General features: G+C 48.5%; 1 protein-coding gene across 11 annotated transcripts in view; it reads left to right on the forward strand.

The window, feature by feature from the left end:
• TRIO (trio Rho guanine nucleotide exchange factor) overlaps positions 1-15,363 on the forward strand; it is a 366,863-nt gene that overhangs the window by 336,404 nt on the left and 15,096 nt on the right. For 10 of the 11 annotated variants that reach the window (XM_047417679.1, NM_007118.4, XM_017009802.2 and 7 more), the window contains 7 exons: positions 174-266; positions 1,489-1,539; positions 1,796-1,873; positions 2,837-3,028; positions 5,324-5,501; positions 7,719-8,515; positions 12,822-13,069. In XM_047417679.1, coding sequence (XP_047273635.1) covers positions 174-266; positions 1,489-1,539; positions 1,796-1,873; positions 2,837-3,028; positions 5,324-5,501; positions 7,719-8,515; positions 12,822-13,069 — 1,637 coding nt within the window. The remainder of the gene's footprint in view (positions 1-173; positions 267-1,488; positions 1,540-1,795; positions 1,874-2,836; positions 3,029-5,323; positions 5,502-7,718; positions 8,516-12,821; positions 13,070-15,363) is intronic. The other variant, NR_134469.2, reaches the window with a different exon arrangement.

Consider the following 15,363-nt stretch of genomic DNA (forward strand, 5'->3'; position numbering starts at 1 on the left):
GAAAGTGTAAAACTTGGAAATTCTGTGAACTAGCAAAGCTCTAGTTAGTCTAGTGCTTTTTTTCCTCGTTACTTTTACTGCCAGTGTTGTAGTCTTTCTGACAATTACAAAGACTAAAAAATTGCCCTTTAATGAACAGCCCATACGATCTTTTCTCTCTCTTAAAACTGTAGGACTTAAAGCAGCGTCTTGGCCACAGGTTACAGCTCACAGATCTGTTGATCAAACCAGTGCAGAGAATCATGAAGTATCAGCTGTTACTGAAGGTGAGGAGGTGGCGGGACAAACTCTGGTGTCAGGAGTGAGTTTGCTGAGAAAATAAGACTCAGTTGGGGAAAGAAGGATTTGGTAGGACAGGGGAATCATCTGTGTAACAGGTATATTATTTCTGATAAGTTAAACCTTAAAAATTTAAATCAGCTGTTAACTGAAGGTGAGGTGGCGGGACAGACTCTGGTGTCAGGAGTGAGTTTGCTGAAAAAATAAGACTCAGTGGGGGAAAGAAGGATTTGGTAGGACGGGAATCATCTGTGTAACAAGTATATTATTTCTGATAAGTTAATCCTTAAAAATTTAAGAAAACACTTCAAACAATTTTCTCAATTTTTTATTTACATCGAGTTCAGAATGAAAATATCAGTAAAAGTGAATTTTTTTTCCCCCACCACAGACCTTGGAATGCTAATGATTTTTCTTCTGCTCTATCAACTTTAATTATTTTCTAATCTTCTTGGAACCTTGGATAAAAGTAAATTTGGAATCCTTTTGTATTCCTCTCTGTTGGCTTAACACTAGCCCTTGATTGAGTTAAATTCTTAAGCATAACCGAAGGCAGAGTCACGTGTTTTTCTGTGATAAAAGAGACTTCAAGTGTATTGATATTCCTTCGTGTACAACGCCTAGGACCTGGATCTAGAGAGGGACAAAGAGCTTGTCTTGGATTAAACAGGAACAATTGGATAGATCTGGTCTGACTCTGTGTACTGCAGCTTGAAATCTACGTAGGAATGCCTTTTTGTTGTGTTACTGAGAGAATAATATGATAAAGTAGAACTAAGGCACCAGACAGGTGTGGTGGTACACACCTGTAGACCCGGCTACTTGGGAGGCTGAGGCAGGAGGATAGCTTGAGGCCAGGAGTTGGAGGCTGCAGTGAGCTTATGATTGCTCCTTTGAATAGCCACTACACTCCAGCCTGGACAACATAGTGAGAGCTTGTCTATTTAAAAAAAAAAATTCTTTCAGAACTAAAGTGCTGAACCCCAATGTCTGGCCAGTGTGAGTGGCCAAAAAGGTTAGCTTGTGTGCATTGTCTCATTCCTGTAGTCCCAGCTACTCAGGAGGCCAAAGCAAGAGGATCACTTGAGGCCAGGAGTTCAAGACCAGCTTGAGTAACATAGTGAGACCCTGTCTCTTAAAAAAAAAAATAAAAGGTCAGCTGCTGTTGTCTTTGTCACCATTATCATGTCCTCTCCATTTCCCTTGCAGGACTTCCTCAAGTATTCCAAAAAGGCCAGCCTGGATACATCAGAATTAGAGGTACATGCATCAGCGGCTGTGGGCACCCAAATCCCCACCAGCCTCTTTTCCTAATCCCCAAGTGTCTCCTAACAGTGGTCTGGCCCTGGGAGGGGGTCAAAGCAGTGGATGACAGAGTCTCTCCAGTGCATCTCCATAAGCCCTGCACACTAGAGGGTGGGGAGGAAGAACAGAACTTCATCAGGTCAGAGGGTGAGCACGTCAGATTTTCCCTAGAGGAACTTGAGCTTTCACTCTTCTCTCTCCCCTCCCACAGAGAGCTGTGGAAGTCATGTGCATAGTACCCAGGCGGTGCAACGACATGATGAACGTGGGGCGGCTGCAAGGATTCGACGTAATGCGGCTCTTGTTTTTTAAGAGAGCTCCTCTGCCTTCATCTCTTTCTTTTGTCTTGGATTATTTCTCTCCACATAGAGAAAGCTGATCCTTTTCACTTGGTTTTCTGGCTTCTCTCACTTTACCTCAATCTGATTGATATTTTATTTCCTTTTTTTTTTTTTTTTTTTTTTTGGTGCGTTTGGTTTGCTTTTTTGGGACTTGCCTGTGCTCAAAGCCCAGTGTCTCATGGCAGAAACAAGCAGGACCGGGCTTTGTCTCTTGGGCCCAGTACTGTAAGAGCTGAGTTTCCTTTCCTCAGCACTTAAGACCATGGTTAGCTATGGATGTAGTAGGACCTCGGAGGTCCCCACTCTCTCATCTCTGGGACTTGATACTTCCTCATTAGTTTAAGATATGTTTGCATGAGTTGCTAGACTATTCATATTACATATTAGCTATTACATATCCTCAAGATGAATTCAGAACCAGAATCTTCTTTTAAAAATTTGACTACGGAGTTAAGGAGGCAGGAGAAGTTTTTATTTTCTTGCCTACTGTTTTGCTAGAGAATTAGCATTGAAAGTTCTGGTGCTATGGTTCTCTCTGACGCACACACAGAGGCCGTTGGAGGGCTTCTGAAAACTCCTGTGCATGCCTGATGAGTTCCTGCTGGCGACCCAGGGACCACACTTTGAGAACCACTGTTCTAGTATAAACCAGACATTTAAAACTCCACTTTTAATCTGTGACTGTAATTGAGGCGCCAGAGGTCTATACAAATGTTGGCAAGAATTTTATTTAGATAATTATTCTGTTTAGAGCCAAGAACAGTAAAAGAAAAAAAAAATTAAACTCCATAAATTAATAAAAGAAAAATACATTATTCCATAGGAGGAAATCTAAAGAAAACAGCTTCAGATAACTTAGAAGGCAATGTTTTCTTCTCCCCTTCCTTTTCCCCCTTTATTTCTTGTTTTAGGGGAAAATCGTTGCCCAGGGTAAACTGCTCTTGCAGGACACATTCTTGGTCACAGACCAAGATGCAGGACTTCTGCCTCGCTGCAGAGAGAGGCGCATCTTCCTCTTTGAGCAGATCGTCATATTCAGCGAACCACTTGATAAAAAGAAGGGCTTCTCCATGCCGGGATTCCTGTTTAAGAACAGTATCAAGGTAACGTGTGTCTCTGTGTGATTTCTCTGTGCCAGCGCATGTACCCGTCACACCGATACACTGTTTCCTTTTAATGATGACATACCCTGATGCTTCGTTTAAGTATTTGAGAATTTTCTAGTATATTTCAGAGCCTTGAATTCACCCCATTTCTCTTTTTACTGTCTGTGTTCTTGAGTGGCTGATGTCTTGTACACACCTCTGTGTAACCACAGCCATTCATTCTTACCATGATGAGAACTGGTCATGGGTAGTGTTTATGCACCCCCTTCTCTAGGACCGAGGAAAACTGGTTTAAATTTGATAGCACGGATTTGGGGGATTGCTCTATGATCAGAGAAAAAGTTCACTCGGTGTCTTCTTCTCTTCCTCCACTCACCAAGGAGGTACTGAGCACTCAGCAACAGGCGTGAGGGCTCCAGGAATGGCCCAGCTGGATGCCCTCCCTGCCCTGATGTAGCTTATCCTCTAATAGGAAAGGAAGACAGAGGGACAAAGAAAATAATTGCCAATGGCCCTCAAGTCTGTAAAAGGGACAAACCAAGGGTGAGGTAGAGAAGAGCAGAGGGCAGGCCTGAGGTCCCAGCAGATGACTCCTGGGAGATACATGCCCCCGCCAGGGTCCTCCTGGCTCTGCAGCTGTGCAGACCCTGAGGTCAGAAGGGAGATGTACTTCCCTTTGGTAGGGCCTCCTGCCCTACGCCATCAGGGACAGGGAACTCTCAGACCGTGCACACCTGCGGGCCTCACAGCACACAGGCAGAACATTGCGTCCTCCCCCATCCGACTCTCCGTTCAGGCTTTTGTTGGCTGTCCCCAGCAGCCTCCATTTGCCTAAACCTGGGGTGGGTCTGTCCGTGGGCACAGGTGCCAGGCTGGGGGCCTCTGCCCACCAGCACCTAGGAGGGCTCTGGAGCCAAACAGCTGGAGAAGGAGGCCGCCTCTGCATGAGGCTGGGCTGCGGGCCCTCGCACCTCCCACCACCCGCCTGCCCCTCCAGACTCCGCCTTTTGAGGCCCCTCACCCTGAGGCCATGTCAGGCACAGACCCTCTGGGCTCACCACTACACTTGAGCCTCCCATCCCCTGAACTGTGCGCCCATCCCCTGGACGGCAGCCATCATCTGAACTGTGCACCCATGCCCTGAACTGTGCACCCATACGCTGAACTGCACCCATACGCTGAGCCGCACCCATCCCTTGGACTGCAGCCATCATCTGAACTACACCCATCCCCTGCACTGCACCCATCCCCTGAGAACCACCCATCCCCTGCACTGCACCTATCCCCTGAGAACTGCACTCATCCATCCCGGGCACTGCACTCATCCATCCCCTGCACTGCACCCATCCCCTGAGAACTGCCTACCCATTCTTCTCACAAGTCTTTTGGCAGAAAATCACTCCAGCACTGTAGGAATTTCGTATATATTTTTTACATATTTTTATAAAATTATTTGACATATTTTAATCATGATATCACATACAATTTTATAACATAGGTTTTAGTGATATTTGAGATTTGTTTAATGGTGTCATTTACTCCCTGGGAAGTAAGTAAGGATAAATACTGAGGCATCATAGAGGGGTTTGGGAAACAGGTAATCCCAGACGCATATTTCTAGTTAATTGTTCAGGCTGTTAGTTCAAACTATTAGTTTAACAGCCTTGTATTCCCCATGTACCTGAGTTAAGAGGCATTAAAAAGCTTCAGATGTTTTCTGAGGCAGTAAAAATGGCAGTTCAACTGAAAAGTGCTTGTTTCAGGATTGAGTTAGGATGAACTTCACTTTGCACTTGGCCAGTGGGGATCAATGTGCTTTAATTTTTTGTTGTGGTAAAATACACATAACATAAATGTTCCATCTTTAATTACCTAGCTCCATGGGATTAAGAACATTCATGTTTTGCAGCCATCACCATCATCTGTCTTCACAACTCTTCATCTTGCAGAGCTAAAGCCCTGTACCCATTAAACAGTAACTCCCCACTTCCCCACCCCCAAGCCCCTGGCAACCTCCACTCTACTTCCTATCCCCACATTTGACTACTCTAAGGACTTCCTGTAAGTGGAATCATAACAATAGTTGTATTTTGAGACTGGCATATTTCACTTAACATAACGTCTTCAAGGTTCATCCATGTCGTATTGTGTGTCGGAATTTCTTTCCTCATTAAGGCTGAAAAACTGTCCACATAGCCCACATTTTCTTTGTCCATTCATCGGTCAGTGGACACATGGTTTGCTTCCTTTCCACCTGTTAGCTATTATGAATAATGTTTTTTTTTTTTTAAGGTGAGTTGCCTTTGCCTGGAGGAAAATGTGGAAAATGATCCCTGTAAATTTGCTCTGACATCGAGGACGGGTGACGTGGTAGAGACCTTCATTTTGCATTCATCTAGTCCAAGTGTCCGGCAAACTTGGATCCATGAAATCAACCAAATTTTAGAAAACCAGCGCAATTTTTTAAATGGTAATGTGTGTTCTGTTACTAGATGTGTGCTTTCTTTCCTCGTGTACTCACTTGTATTTATCTTCCCTCTCCCATTCATATCCATAGTAATGACAGAACTTAGCACTCACCACTCTTCAGGCACTGCCTAGATATTGCTTTATTTCATCTTCACAACCACCCTGTGTGGCCAGTACTATTATTATTCCTGCTTTACAGATGAGAAAGCTGGGGCACTGAGCGGCTGAGTAATTTGCTTCGAGTCCCACAAGTTGTTGAGGGCAGAGTCAGGACACAGAGTGGCCATCTGGCTCTTGGTCTGTGCCCCTCGCAGCTACACTGTCCCACACATAACATGTACGAGGGCCCAGTCCTAGGAAGAGGAGTTTGCGAGAACACGAGATGGCATTGGCCAGAGACATTCACGAGGGCCTTGCACACCCACACCTCCTTTCCCCATTAAAAAAATAAGAGATGGGGCCAAGCATGGTGGCTCAAGCCTATAATCCCAGCACTTTGGGAGGCCAAGTTGGGCAGATCACCTGAGGTCAGGAGTTTGAGACCAGCCTGACCAACATGGAGAAACCCTGTCTCTACTAAAAATACAAAAAAATTAGCCGGGCGTGGTGGCGCATGCCTGTAATCCCAGCTACTCAGGAGGCTGAGGCAGGAGAATCACTTGAACCCAGGAGGCGGAGATCGTGGTGAGCTGAGATCGCACCATTGCACTACAGCCTGGGCAACAAGAGTGAAACTCTGTCTCAAAAAAAAAAAAAGAGACGGTTCAGTACTTCCCTGCTTCCGTGACTTGAGGGATTGCAGAGATGCTGCAGAACACAGCGGGCGTGGCCACACTACCCTTCCATTGCCTCTTAATGTATTTGATCTCTTTGCAAATGTTGGCTTCAACACTGGCTTTTAATTTGGTGATCAGCAAAGAACTTTGAGAATTCAGTCCGAAGCTATGTGCCCATGTCATCTGTGTCTTCTGGGTTCTTTGCTTCATGTTCGTATTCACGGTCTGCATCTATGCCTGCTCAAGCTCAATAGGATGTTGTAATGTTCTCTGTCACAAGAAAGCCACCTCTACACCTTGCGTGATGTTCAAGAGCCAGGAACATAGGCACTCAGTGAAAAATCTCAAGCCTCATGGCATTTTTAGCCAAGTGTTATGTGCTGCCTGGGTGTTAACTCCAAGTTTCCATCCTGCTTGCAAGCTGATAATCATTTACATCTGCAGCTAGGGGTGGGCGCTTGAGGATAGGGAGGCACAGTTCCTCAGGTGCGAAGAGGTTCAATGTGGTGTTCTTATGTGGTGCATTGAGTTCCAATCCATAGCTTGGAATTGAGAATGCTCTAAATTTTCATCATTGTCTTTAAAATAGAATGAACTGCCCCCAGATTGCACGCATGGTCTGTGATGTCAGAGTTTACTTGACACCCACTCAGTTGAGTAACTAGTAATACCTATCCCAGAGGATTAAAGGAGATCGCTCATGGGCTGGGAGCTTGGGACCCTTTCACCTGCTTCTTGCACACCCCTTAGTCCTGGAAGAGGCTGTGGCCAGCACAGAGTTTGTAGACTGCCTCTGGCTCCTCAACGCTTGCTCACACATGCCTGGGGCTGGGGCTGGGGGGCTGCATCTGCTTGTCGTATTTTTCAAAGGCTTTAACACTTCAAGAGTTTGTGCATGTTTCCATACATGTTATTTTGGCCTGATTTCTGTGTTTTTCTACAATGAAGATGTAAGAAAACTCAGGCACCCAAGTCAAGAGATGGGACAGCCTCCCGCTCCAGGGGCCTCTAGTAGCTCCTTAGCTTCCCTCAGGGCTGTGTTCAGCCTGCAGAGCAGAGGTGGTCTATGAAACCGCCTCCACGGCAGCCCCAGGGTTTCTTTTTCACCCCAGGACTCTGGTTTAGGAAAGACCTTTGCGGAAGCCAGTTGGTAGCTGGAGGAGTTCTAGTCAAATCTGTTGCCTTGGTCTTCCTGTGGACACTGGCCCTTAGTCCGGGATGTGCTGAGGAATGCGGCCCCTTCCACCCGCTGCACTCAGCCGGCATCCCAATACCTTGGCAAGCAGGGGCCTCTTCTAGCTCTCCTGATGGGTGGGGTTGCTCTGCGCCCCTGCACGGGGTCTGCCCCATGACCCATCCCAGGGTGGGCCCTGTTCCTCCCTCACCCCGCGGCGTGCTCCTTGGCGCCCTGACCCAGTCTCTCCCGCTGTCTTGTCTTACAGCCTTGACATCGCCAATCGAGTACCAGAGGAACCACAGCGGGGGCGGCGGCGGCGGCGGCAGCGGGGGCAGCGGCGGGGGTGGGGGCAGCGGCGGCGGCGGGGCCCCCAGTGGCGGCAGCGGCCACAGTGGCGGCCCCAGCAGCTGCGGCGGCGCCCCCAGCACGAGCAGGAGCCGGCCCTCCCGGATCCCCCAGCCTGTCCGACACCACCCCCCCGTGCTGGTCTCCTCTGCAGCCTCGAGCCAGGCAGAGGCAGACAAGATGTCAGGTACGTCCACCCCCGGGCCCTCCCTGCCTCCCCCTGGCGCGGCCCCCGAGGCCGGCCCCAGCGCGCCCAGCAGGCGGCCCCCCGGCGCGGACGCCGAGGGGTCCGAGCGAGAAGCGGAGCCGATCCCCAAGATGAAGGTGCTGGAGAGCCCCAGGAAAGGCGCCGCGAACGCCTCGGGGTCGAGCCCAGACGCCCCCGCCAAGGACGCGCGCGCTAGCCTGGGCACCCTGCCGCTTGGGAAGCCCCGGGCCGGGGCCGCTTCGCCGCTGAACTCGCCGCTCTCCAGCGCGGTCCCTTCTCTCGGCAAGGAGCCCTTCCCCCCCAGCAGCCCCCTGCAGAAGGGGGGCTCCTTCTGGAGCTCCATCCCCGCCTCCCCCGCCAGCCGACCCGGCTCCTTCACCTTCCCGGGGGACAGCGACTCCCTCCAGCGGCAGACACCCCGCCACGCGGCCCCTGGCAAGGATACTGACCGCATGAGCACGTGCTCCTCGGCCAGCGAGCAGTCCGTGCAGTCCACCCAGAGCAACGGGGTAAGCGCGTCGGGGGGCCCGCGCCCTCCCGCCCCCCTGCCTCTGTCCCGCCAGCTCTAAACGCCACCGCGGCTGTTCTCACTAACTCGGCTGCCCAGCGCTCTCCGCCGCCCGTTGCGGCCTCTACCTGGGACCAGGCTAACCCTCCTGCGGGCCGGCCCACGGCGCTACTAACTACTCCTTGCTTTGTTCGTGTCTTCTAATAAGAGCAAGCCGATCATTAACCTTCTCAACGCAGCGTCTTTTGGTTTCTTCCATTTCCAACCAGCAGAATATCTTCTTGGAACTTTCTTTTTTAACCTCTGCCTTCCTCACGCACCTATTTTTTGGAGGGTTCCTTTTCCCTGCTCTCTACCTCCTGTTTAAATTGAAACCTGTACACTTTAAGCTTTTTGCTCATCGCTTGGTTTTGCTCTTTTATGCCTTAAATTATCTTTGCGGCATTTTTGACTCATCTGCTGGGGAAGACCATTCCCTCAAGAAAACTTCCAACAGCAACTCAAAGCAAACTAAGATGAAAAAATGGGGGGAAAGAATCTGTCCACTGGGAACGCTTTACGTCACCGTGTTGCTCTGGAAGACAGAGACTGCTCTGGGCACCTGGCGAGGCGGCTCTGCAGTGCAGGCTGGGGCCGGTCCCTGCGGCCTGCTGGGCTCTGGCCTCGTTTGGCCCATCACTCATGCTGCCGTCTCAAGCACAAGGGTTGCTGTGGTGGGTTTTCCCTCTGTTTCCTGCTTCCTCACTGTCCTACCCACCTGTTTCCTACAGGGCAGATGGCCTGGCCCGTAACACTTTCCTGAAGGCATGCGTGAGTGAATAGAACTGTTCTAATGAGTGTATGTTTGAACGCTTTATAAATTTTTAAATACATTTCTCTAAAAGGGTCTGTGTCTCTCTTTATATTAAAAAAAAAATCTAGCTTTTGCATGTCTTTCTCTTTCCTCTGGACTTATTAATGCCTTAATTGGTTTGACTTGGTCTTATCCTTTCCTACTATTTTTTGTTATGTATTTTGTTAAACTTTAATTGGGGAAGAAATTAACAAATGGGTCTTGATACATTTATTTACAGTTGAAGTGGCCGGGTAGGCATCCGCTGTCATGGCCACCGTACTGTGTCCTCCAGAGCAAGGTGGCCTTTCAGTTAGGTTGGACGTGCTAGGTAGGCAGGTATGCTAGGCGGGTGAGCATAGATTTGAGTCCAGTGTGGGGTGGTGGGGAGATGCAGTCAACCCAGTGACGGGCTATACCCGTCAGCACTTAGTTGGATACTCAGTATCCAGGTGTGGCCTTATAGCTGTGACCCTCGCTGAATCTGCCAGTTAGCATCTAGAGCTCATCATAGCCTGGACACATTCCCATTCAGTACGAGAGGAGATTTCAGAGTCTGTGTTTCAAAATTAACACTTCAACTGCTCCAAGACAGGAGCCAATGCCAGTCTTCTCTGGACATTCATGAGAAGACATGAAAAATGGCCACACCCTGGCTCCATCCTGAATGCTGTCTCTGAGGCCAAGGCGCAATCTGCAAGTGGCACGTGTTCCCGCGAGCTTTAGGTTGGGAAAGTTGCTTTTGCTTTCTCTCTTTCTCTTCCTACTTGTTCTCATGTGGCAGGGAACCTGGAAAGGGAACTTGCTGAACAGGATTTCAGACAAGTCAAGATGCCTTACAGAAATGCCCTAAAGGCCTAGGAAGACTCCAGAGCTCCAAAATGGGGCTTTAAAAATGCCCTCTAGGCTGGGCATGATGTCTCACACCTGTAATCCCAGCGCTTTGGGAGGCCGAGACGGGCAGATCACAAGGTCAGGAGTTCGAGGCCAGCATGGTGAAACCCCATCTCTACTAAAAATAAAATTAGCTGAGCATTTAAAATTAGGTGAGCTGGCACGCACCTATAGTCCCAGCTACTTGGGAGGCTGAGGCAGGAGAATCGCTTGAACCCAGGAGGCAGTGGTTGCAGTGAGCCGAGATCGTGCCATTGCACTCCAGCCTGGATGACAGAGGGAGACTCCGTCTCAAAAAGCCCCCACGTATTTGCACTTCTGTCCCCCTGGAGATCTGCAAAGGCCTCCTTCCTCCTTGATCACTTCTGTCAAGCTGTCTGTGGTCACAGTCAAGCAGCTGTGCCCAGCCCACAGCCCGGCTCCCTCTTCCCCCTTTAGATGAGCAGCTTCTGCAAAGCTCTGCTGACAGCAGGAGTGACATGGATGTGGATCAACCCAAACCATGGCTGCACCAGTCCTTCCTGCAGCTCAGTGGTCTGGCCTTTTGGCCTGCTTTATTGAGCAGCAATAAAAGTGCATGCACACTGGAGTCACTCCAGCCCTGCCTTTCTTGCACAGGCCAGGTGGCCAGTGCCAGCTCACTGACCTTCCACTCTGAGAGACTGATAACCACGCCCACTGGTGGGTTGGTGGTGAGAATTAAGCAGGATAGACTTGAAATGCCTAGTACATAGGAGATGCCCAGAAAATACTAATAGTTAGGATTGTAGTAGCAAAATACTCTAATTATGAGATTGTAGCCTGGTATATTACCAAAAGCAGCTGTGCTGCAGAAGTTGTTTTTTGTTTACATATTCTTGGAAATTTAGCTTTGTAATCTCAGTACTCTTGGGCATTGCCATATAAGTCAGAATACTAAAGTCCATGCTAAAAGTATAATGCATAAATGAGTATGCACAAGCCAAAGCCTTCCCTGTACAGCACGCTTTTTTGCTGAAGAGCCACAGGCAAACAGTGGGCACCCACAGGGACAAGAACAGGAAGCAGACTCCTCCACGGCAGAGACAAAGAACAGGAGCTGGGCAGCACCGCCATGTTTTTAAGTATGCACCACAGGTCTAGATTCATAGCCCTGGCACCTGGAATTCCCAGTGGCTGGCTTGTTGGCTTTCTCAGGCTTGACCTCATGGAGGAGGGCCAGAGGTCTCTTCCCTCTGGTCCTTTTGGCCAGCTACAGCAGTCCGCCACCTGCTCCAGCGTGTACTGATACTGGCTCAGTAGACCAGGGCTGAGAGGCGGTAGAGCAGGGTTATCTGACAAATTGCATCTGCACTGACCCAGGATCTGCCCAGGGCGTCGGAGAGCCCAGCAGAAGCTAGCACCTTTGGAGCCTTGGGAACCCATGAACATCCCGACAGTACCCTCAGTGGAAGCCTTTGAGCACAAGTTCACGGGAACGAGGCACCAGATGCCGTTTCTCACATCCTAACTTGATAGAGGGGACTTGGGCAAGATGCAGCTTCAGGCGTTGGCAGGGGATCTGCATTTCTTCTCCACCCAGAACCATAGGCCACGCGCTAGATGAGAGTGGGACAAACACTGCCGTTTGTGTTTCTTCTCAGGAGCTAACACCACTCTGTGTGTGGCCTGGGTAGGGCCTTAAGAAATCTCTGTCTTGCTGTTGCAATCCTGCCTCACTGACCGAGTCACTCACCATATGTTGAGTTCCTGCTGCATGTCAGCCCTGTGACTGAAGAGATCGGGTCCCACAGGGGCAGCGGTATAAGGGTGGGGGTACGCATCCCACACCAGAATCCGTTCCCAAAGCTTGAGTCACAGCACCTGGGGCGAGTGGCACTGGGATGCTTTGTGATATGTTCCCATGGCAGCAGAGCCTTGGGGACACTTGAGTCATGCAAGTTCATAAGAGGGACACCTAGCAAGTTCGTATTGCTGGAGACAGAGTCGCTCTCCGTATGAGCAGAATAGTGATCGATTTACGTTCAGGGGTTCCATGTTCTTCTTTTTGAAGAGACGAAGTAGAAATGATTAGGCATGTCAGCAACTTAGCATGATTCTAGAGTATGCATTCCCAATGAACATTCTATCTGGAAGATTTAGGGACTTCTCTGTTATCTAATCTGTCAGTGAAATGAAGATTAATTTTGCATCAATTAATTCTAATACCTTTTTTTAACTGATAATGAGATTCACAGTGATGTGGCTATGTTTGCTTAGGAGTAACCTAACGTGGCGTCAGCAGGAGGACTAAGATGTTCCCGTGAGGGTGCAAGGAAGACCACAGTGGAACGAGCTTCCAAAACCAAAGAGTCATTATTGCAGTGAATTTTTTAAGAGCGTCCCTAAATTGCTTTCTAGAGAAATTACATTTTCAGTTATTGAAATAGATGCACACAGTTAGCCAGAGGGTAAAGGAAATGTTGAAAATTTCTCGGTGCTTGCCTGGTGAGCCCTGCACGGGGTCATGGTGCCATGGGGCACACTGACAAGGGATTTCATGTGATCAGGTCTCGTTTCAGTTCCTCCCTGCCTTTCTCTGTCTTCATCTGTCCCTCTGCAGAGTGAAAGCAGCAGCAGTAGCAACATCTCCACCATGTTGGTGACACACGATTACACGGCAGTGAAGGAGGATGAGATCAACGTCTACCAAGGAGAGGTCGTTCAAATTCTGGCCAGCAACCAGCAGAACATGTTTCTGGTGTTCCGAGCCGCCACTGACCAGTGCCCCGCAGCTGAGGGCTGGATTCCAGGCTTTGTCCTGGGCCACACCAGTGCAGTCATCGTGGAGAACCCGGACGGGACTCTCAAGTGAGTGCTTGACAGTAACGGCGTCCTGGCAGGCAGCAGAGGGAGGGGGCACAGCACCCGTGAGGCACACGACCTCAGACGGGGTAAGCATGTGGAAGGGAGATCTGCGCTGGTATGTTAGAACAGGCTCAGCTCTGAGCACGTGGGAAGATGGGTGGCCTTCCATCTCACACACTCAGACTCACAGGGTCTTTGAATAATCTGCATTTAGAAATAGTCTGTTCTAGCACATTGTTGAGGAATCCCATTTGACATTTTTGTGTTAGTCATAACTCAAGAAAGTGTTGTTTGTTTGTTTGTTTGTTTGTTTAAGAAACCTAAGGGGAAAATATCCCCTATCTTTGTTTCTTTGACATACATTCTTAGGCCGCATATTAGTCAGGGTCCTTCAGAGGAGCAGGACCAGTAGGGAGCGTGCGGAGATGTTGGCATAGACACAGGCACACCTCAGGTTGTTTTGTGCTTTGCTTTAATGTGCTTTGAAGACATTGCCTTTTTTACACGAGTTTTGTGGCAACCCTATGTCAAGCAAGTCTCTCGGTGCCATTTGTCCAACAACGTATGCTCACACTCTGTATTTGTGTCACATTTTGGTGATTCTCAAATATTTCATGCATTTTGTTATTGTATTTGTTACGGTGATATGTAGTTAGTGATGTCTGATGTTACCATTATAATTGTTTTGAGGAACAATGAACTGCACACATACAAGATGCCAAACATAATAAACGTGTGTTCTAACTGCTCCACCAACTGTCCATTCCCCCATGTGTCTCCCTCTCCTCAGGCCTGCCTGAGACACAACAATATCGAAATTAGACCAGTTAATAACTCTACAGTGGCCCCTAAATGTTCAAGTGGAAGAGTCACATGTCTCTCACTTTAAATCAAAAGCCAGAAGCTTAGTGAGGAAGGCATGCCAAAAGTGGATATAGGCCGAAAGCTAAGCGCCTCTCGCACCGAACAGTTAGCTAAATTGTAAATGCAAAGGAAATAAAAGTGCTACCCCACTAAACACACAAATAGTAAGAAGGCAAAACAGCCTTTGCTGAGACAGAGAAAGTTTGAGTGGTCTGGATAGAAGATCAAACCAGCCACAACCTTGCCTTAAGCCAAAGCCCAACCCAGAACAAGGCTCCATCTCTCTCCAGTTCTATAAAGGCTGAGAGAGATGAGGAAGCTGCAGAAGAAAAGTTGCAAACTAGCAAACTAGTTGATTCATGAAGTTTAAGGAAAGCTAATCCTGTAAAATAAAAGGGTTAGGGGCTAATGCAGCTGGTGGCTTTAAGTTGAACCCAGTCGCATTTATTTACCCTTCTGAAAATCCTGGGGTCCTTAAGAACCATGCTAATTATCATCACACCTTATATACCAAAAGGTTAATTCAGTTAAGAAACATGAAGCCGGTTTTGCTGCACTGAGTATTATTTTACTGAATTTGATGGCAGTTTTTACAACTCTTCATCCCCCTGGAATGCCTGCTGTGGTAGAGGCATCTACTCTGCCTGTGCTCTAGAAATGGAACAACAAAGCCTGGCTGACAGCACATCTGTACACCATGTATTTACAACACGGTTTACTGAGTATTTTAAGGCCAGTGTCAACACGTACTGCTCAGAAAACAAAAATTCTTTCAAAATATTACTGTTCTTTGAAAATGCACCTGGTCACCCAAGAGCTCCGATGGAGATGTGCAAGGAGATTCGTGTTGTTTTCTTGCCTGCTAAGACAATATCCATGCTACAGCCCACGGATCAAGGAGTAATTTGGACTTTCAAGTCTTATTTAAGAAATACATTTTGGGCTGGGCATGGTGGCTGACACCCATCATCCCAGCACTTTGGGAAGCCAAGGCGGGTGGATCACCTGAGGTCAGGAGTTCGAGACCAGCCTGACAAGTATGGTGAAACCCAGGCTCTATTAAAAATACAAAAATTCGCTGGGCATGGTGGCATGTGTCTGTGGTCCCAGCTACTTGGGAGGCTGAGACAGGAGAATTGCTTGAACCCTGGAGGCGGAGGTTGCATAGAGCCTAGATCATGCCACTGCACTCCAGCCTGGGCAGCAGAGTGAGACTCTGTCTCAAAAAAAGGAAAAGAAATACATAAATACATTTTGTAATGCCATAGCTACCATAGGCAGTGATGCCTCCAGTGGATCTGGGCAAAGTAAATTGAAAACCTTGTGGAGAGGATTCACCATTCCAGATGTCATGAAGAACACTCATGAATCATGGGAGAAGGTCAGAATGTTAACATTAATTAACAGTGGTTTGGAAGAAGTTGATTTCAACC

This window comes from Homo sapiens, chromosome 5 (genome assembly GCF_000001405.40).
Source record: "Homo sapiens chromosome 5, GRCh38.p14 Primary Assembly".
Taxonomy (NCBI): Eukaryota; Metazoa; Chordata; class Mammalia; order Primates; family Hominidae; genus Homo; species Homo sapiens.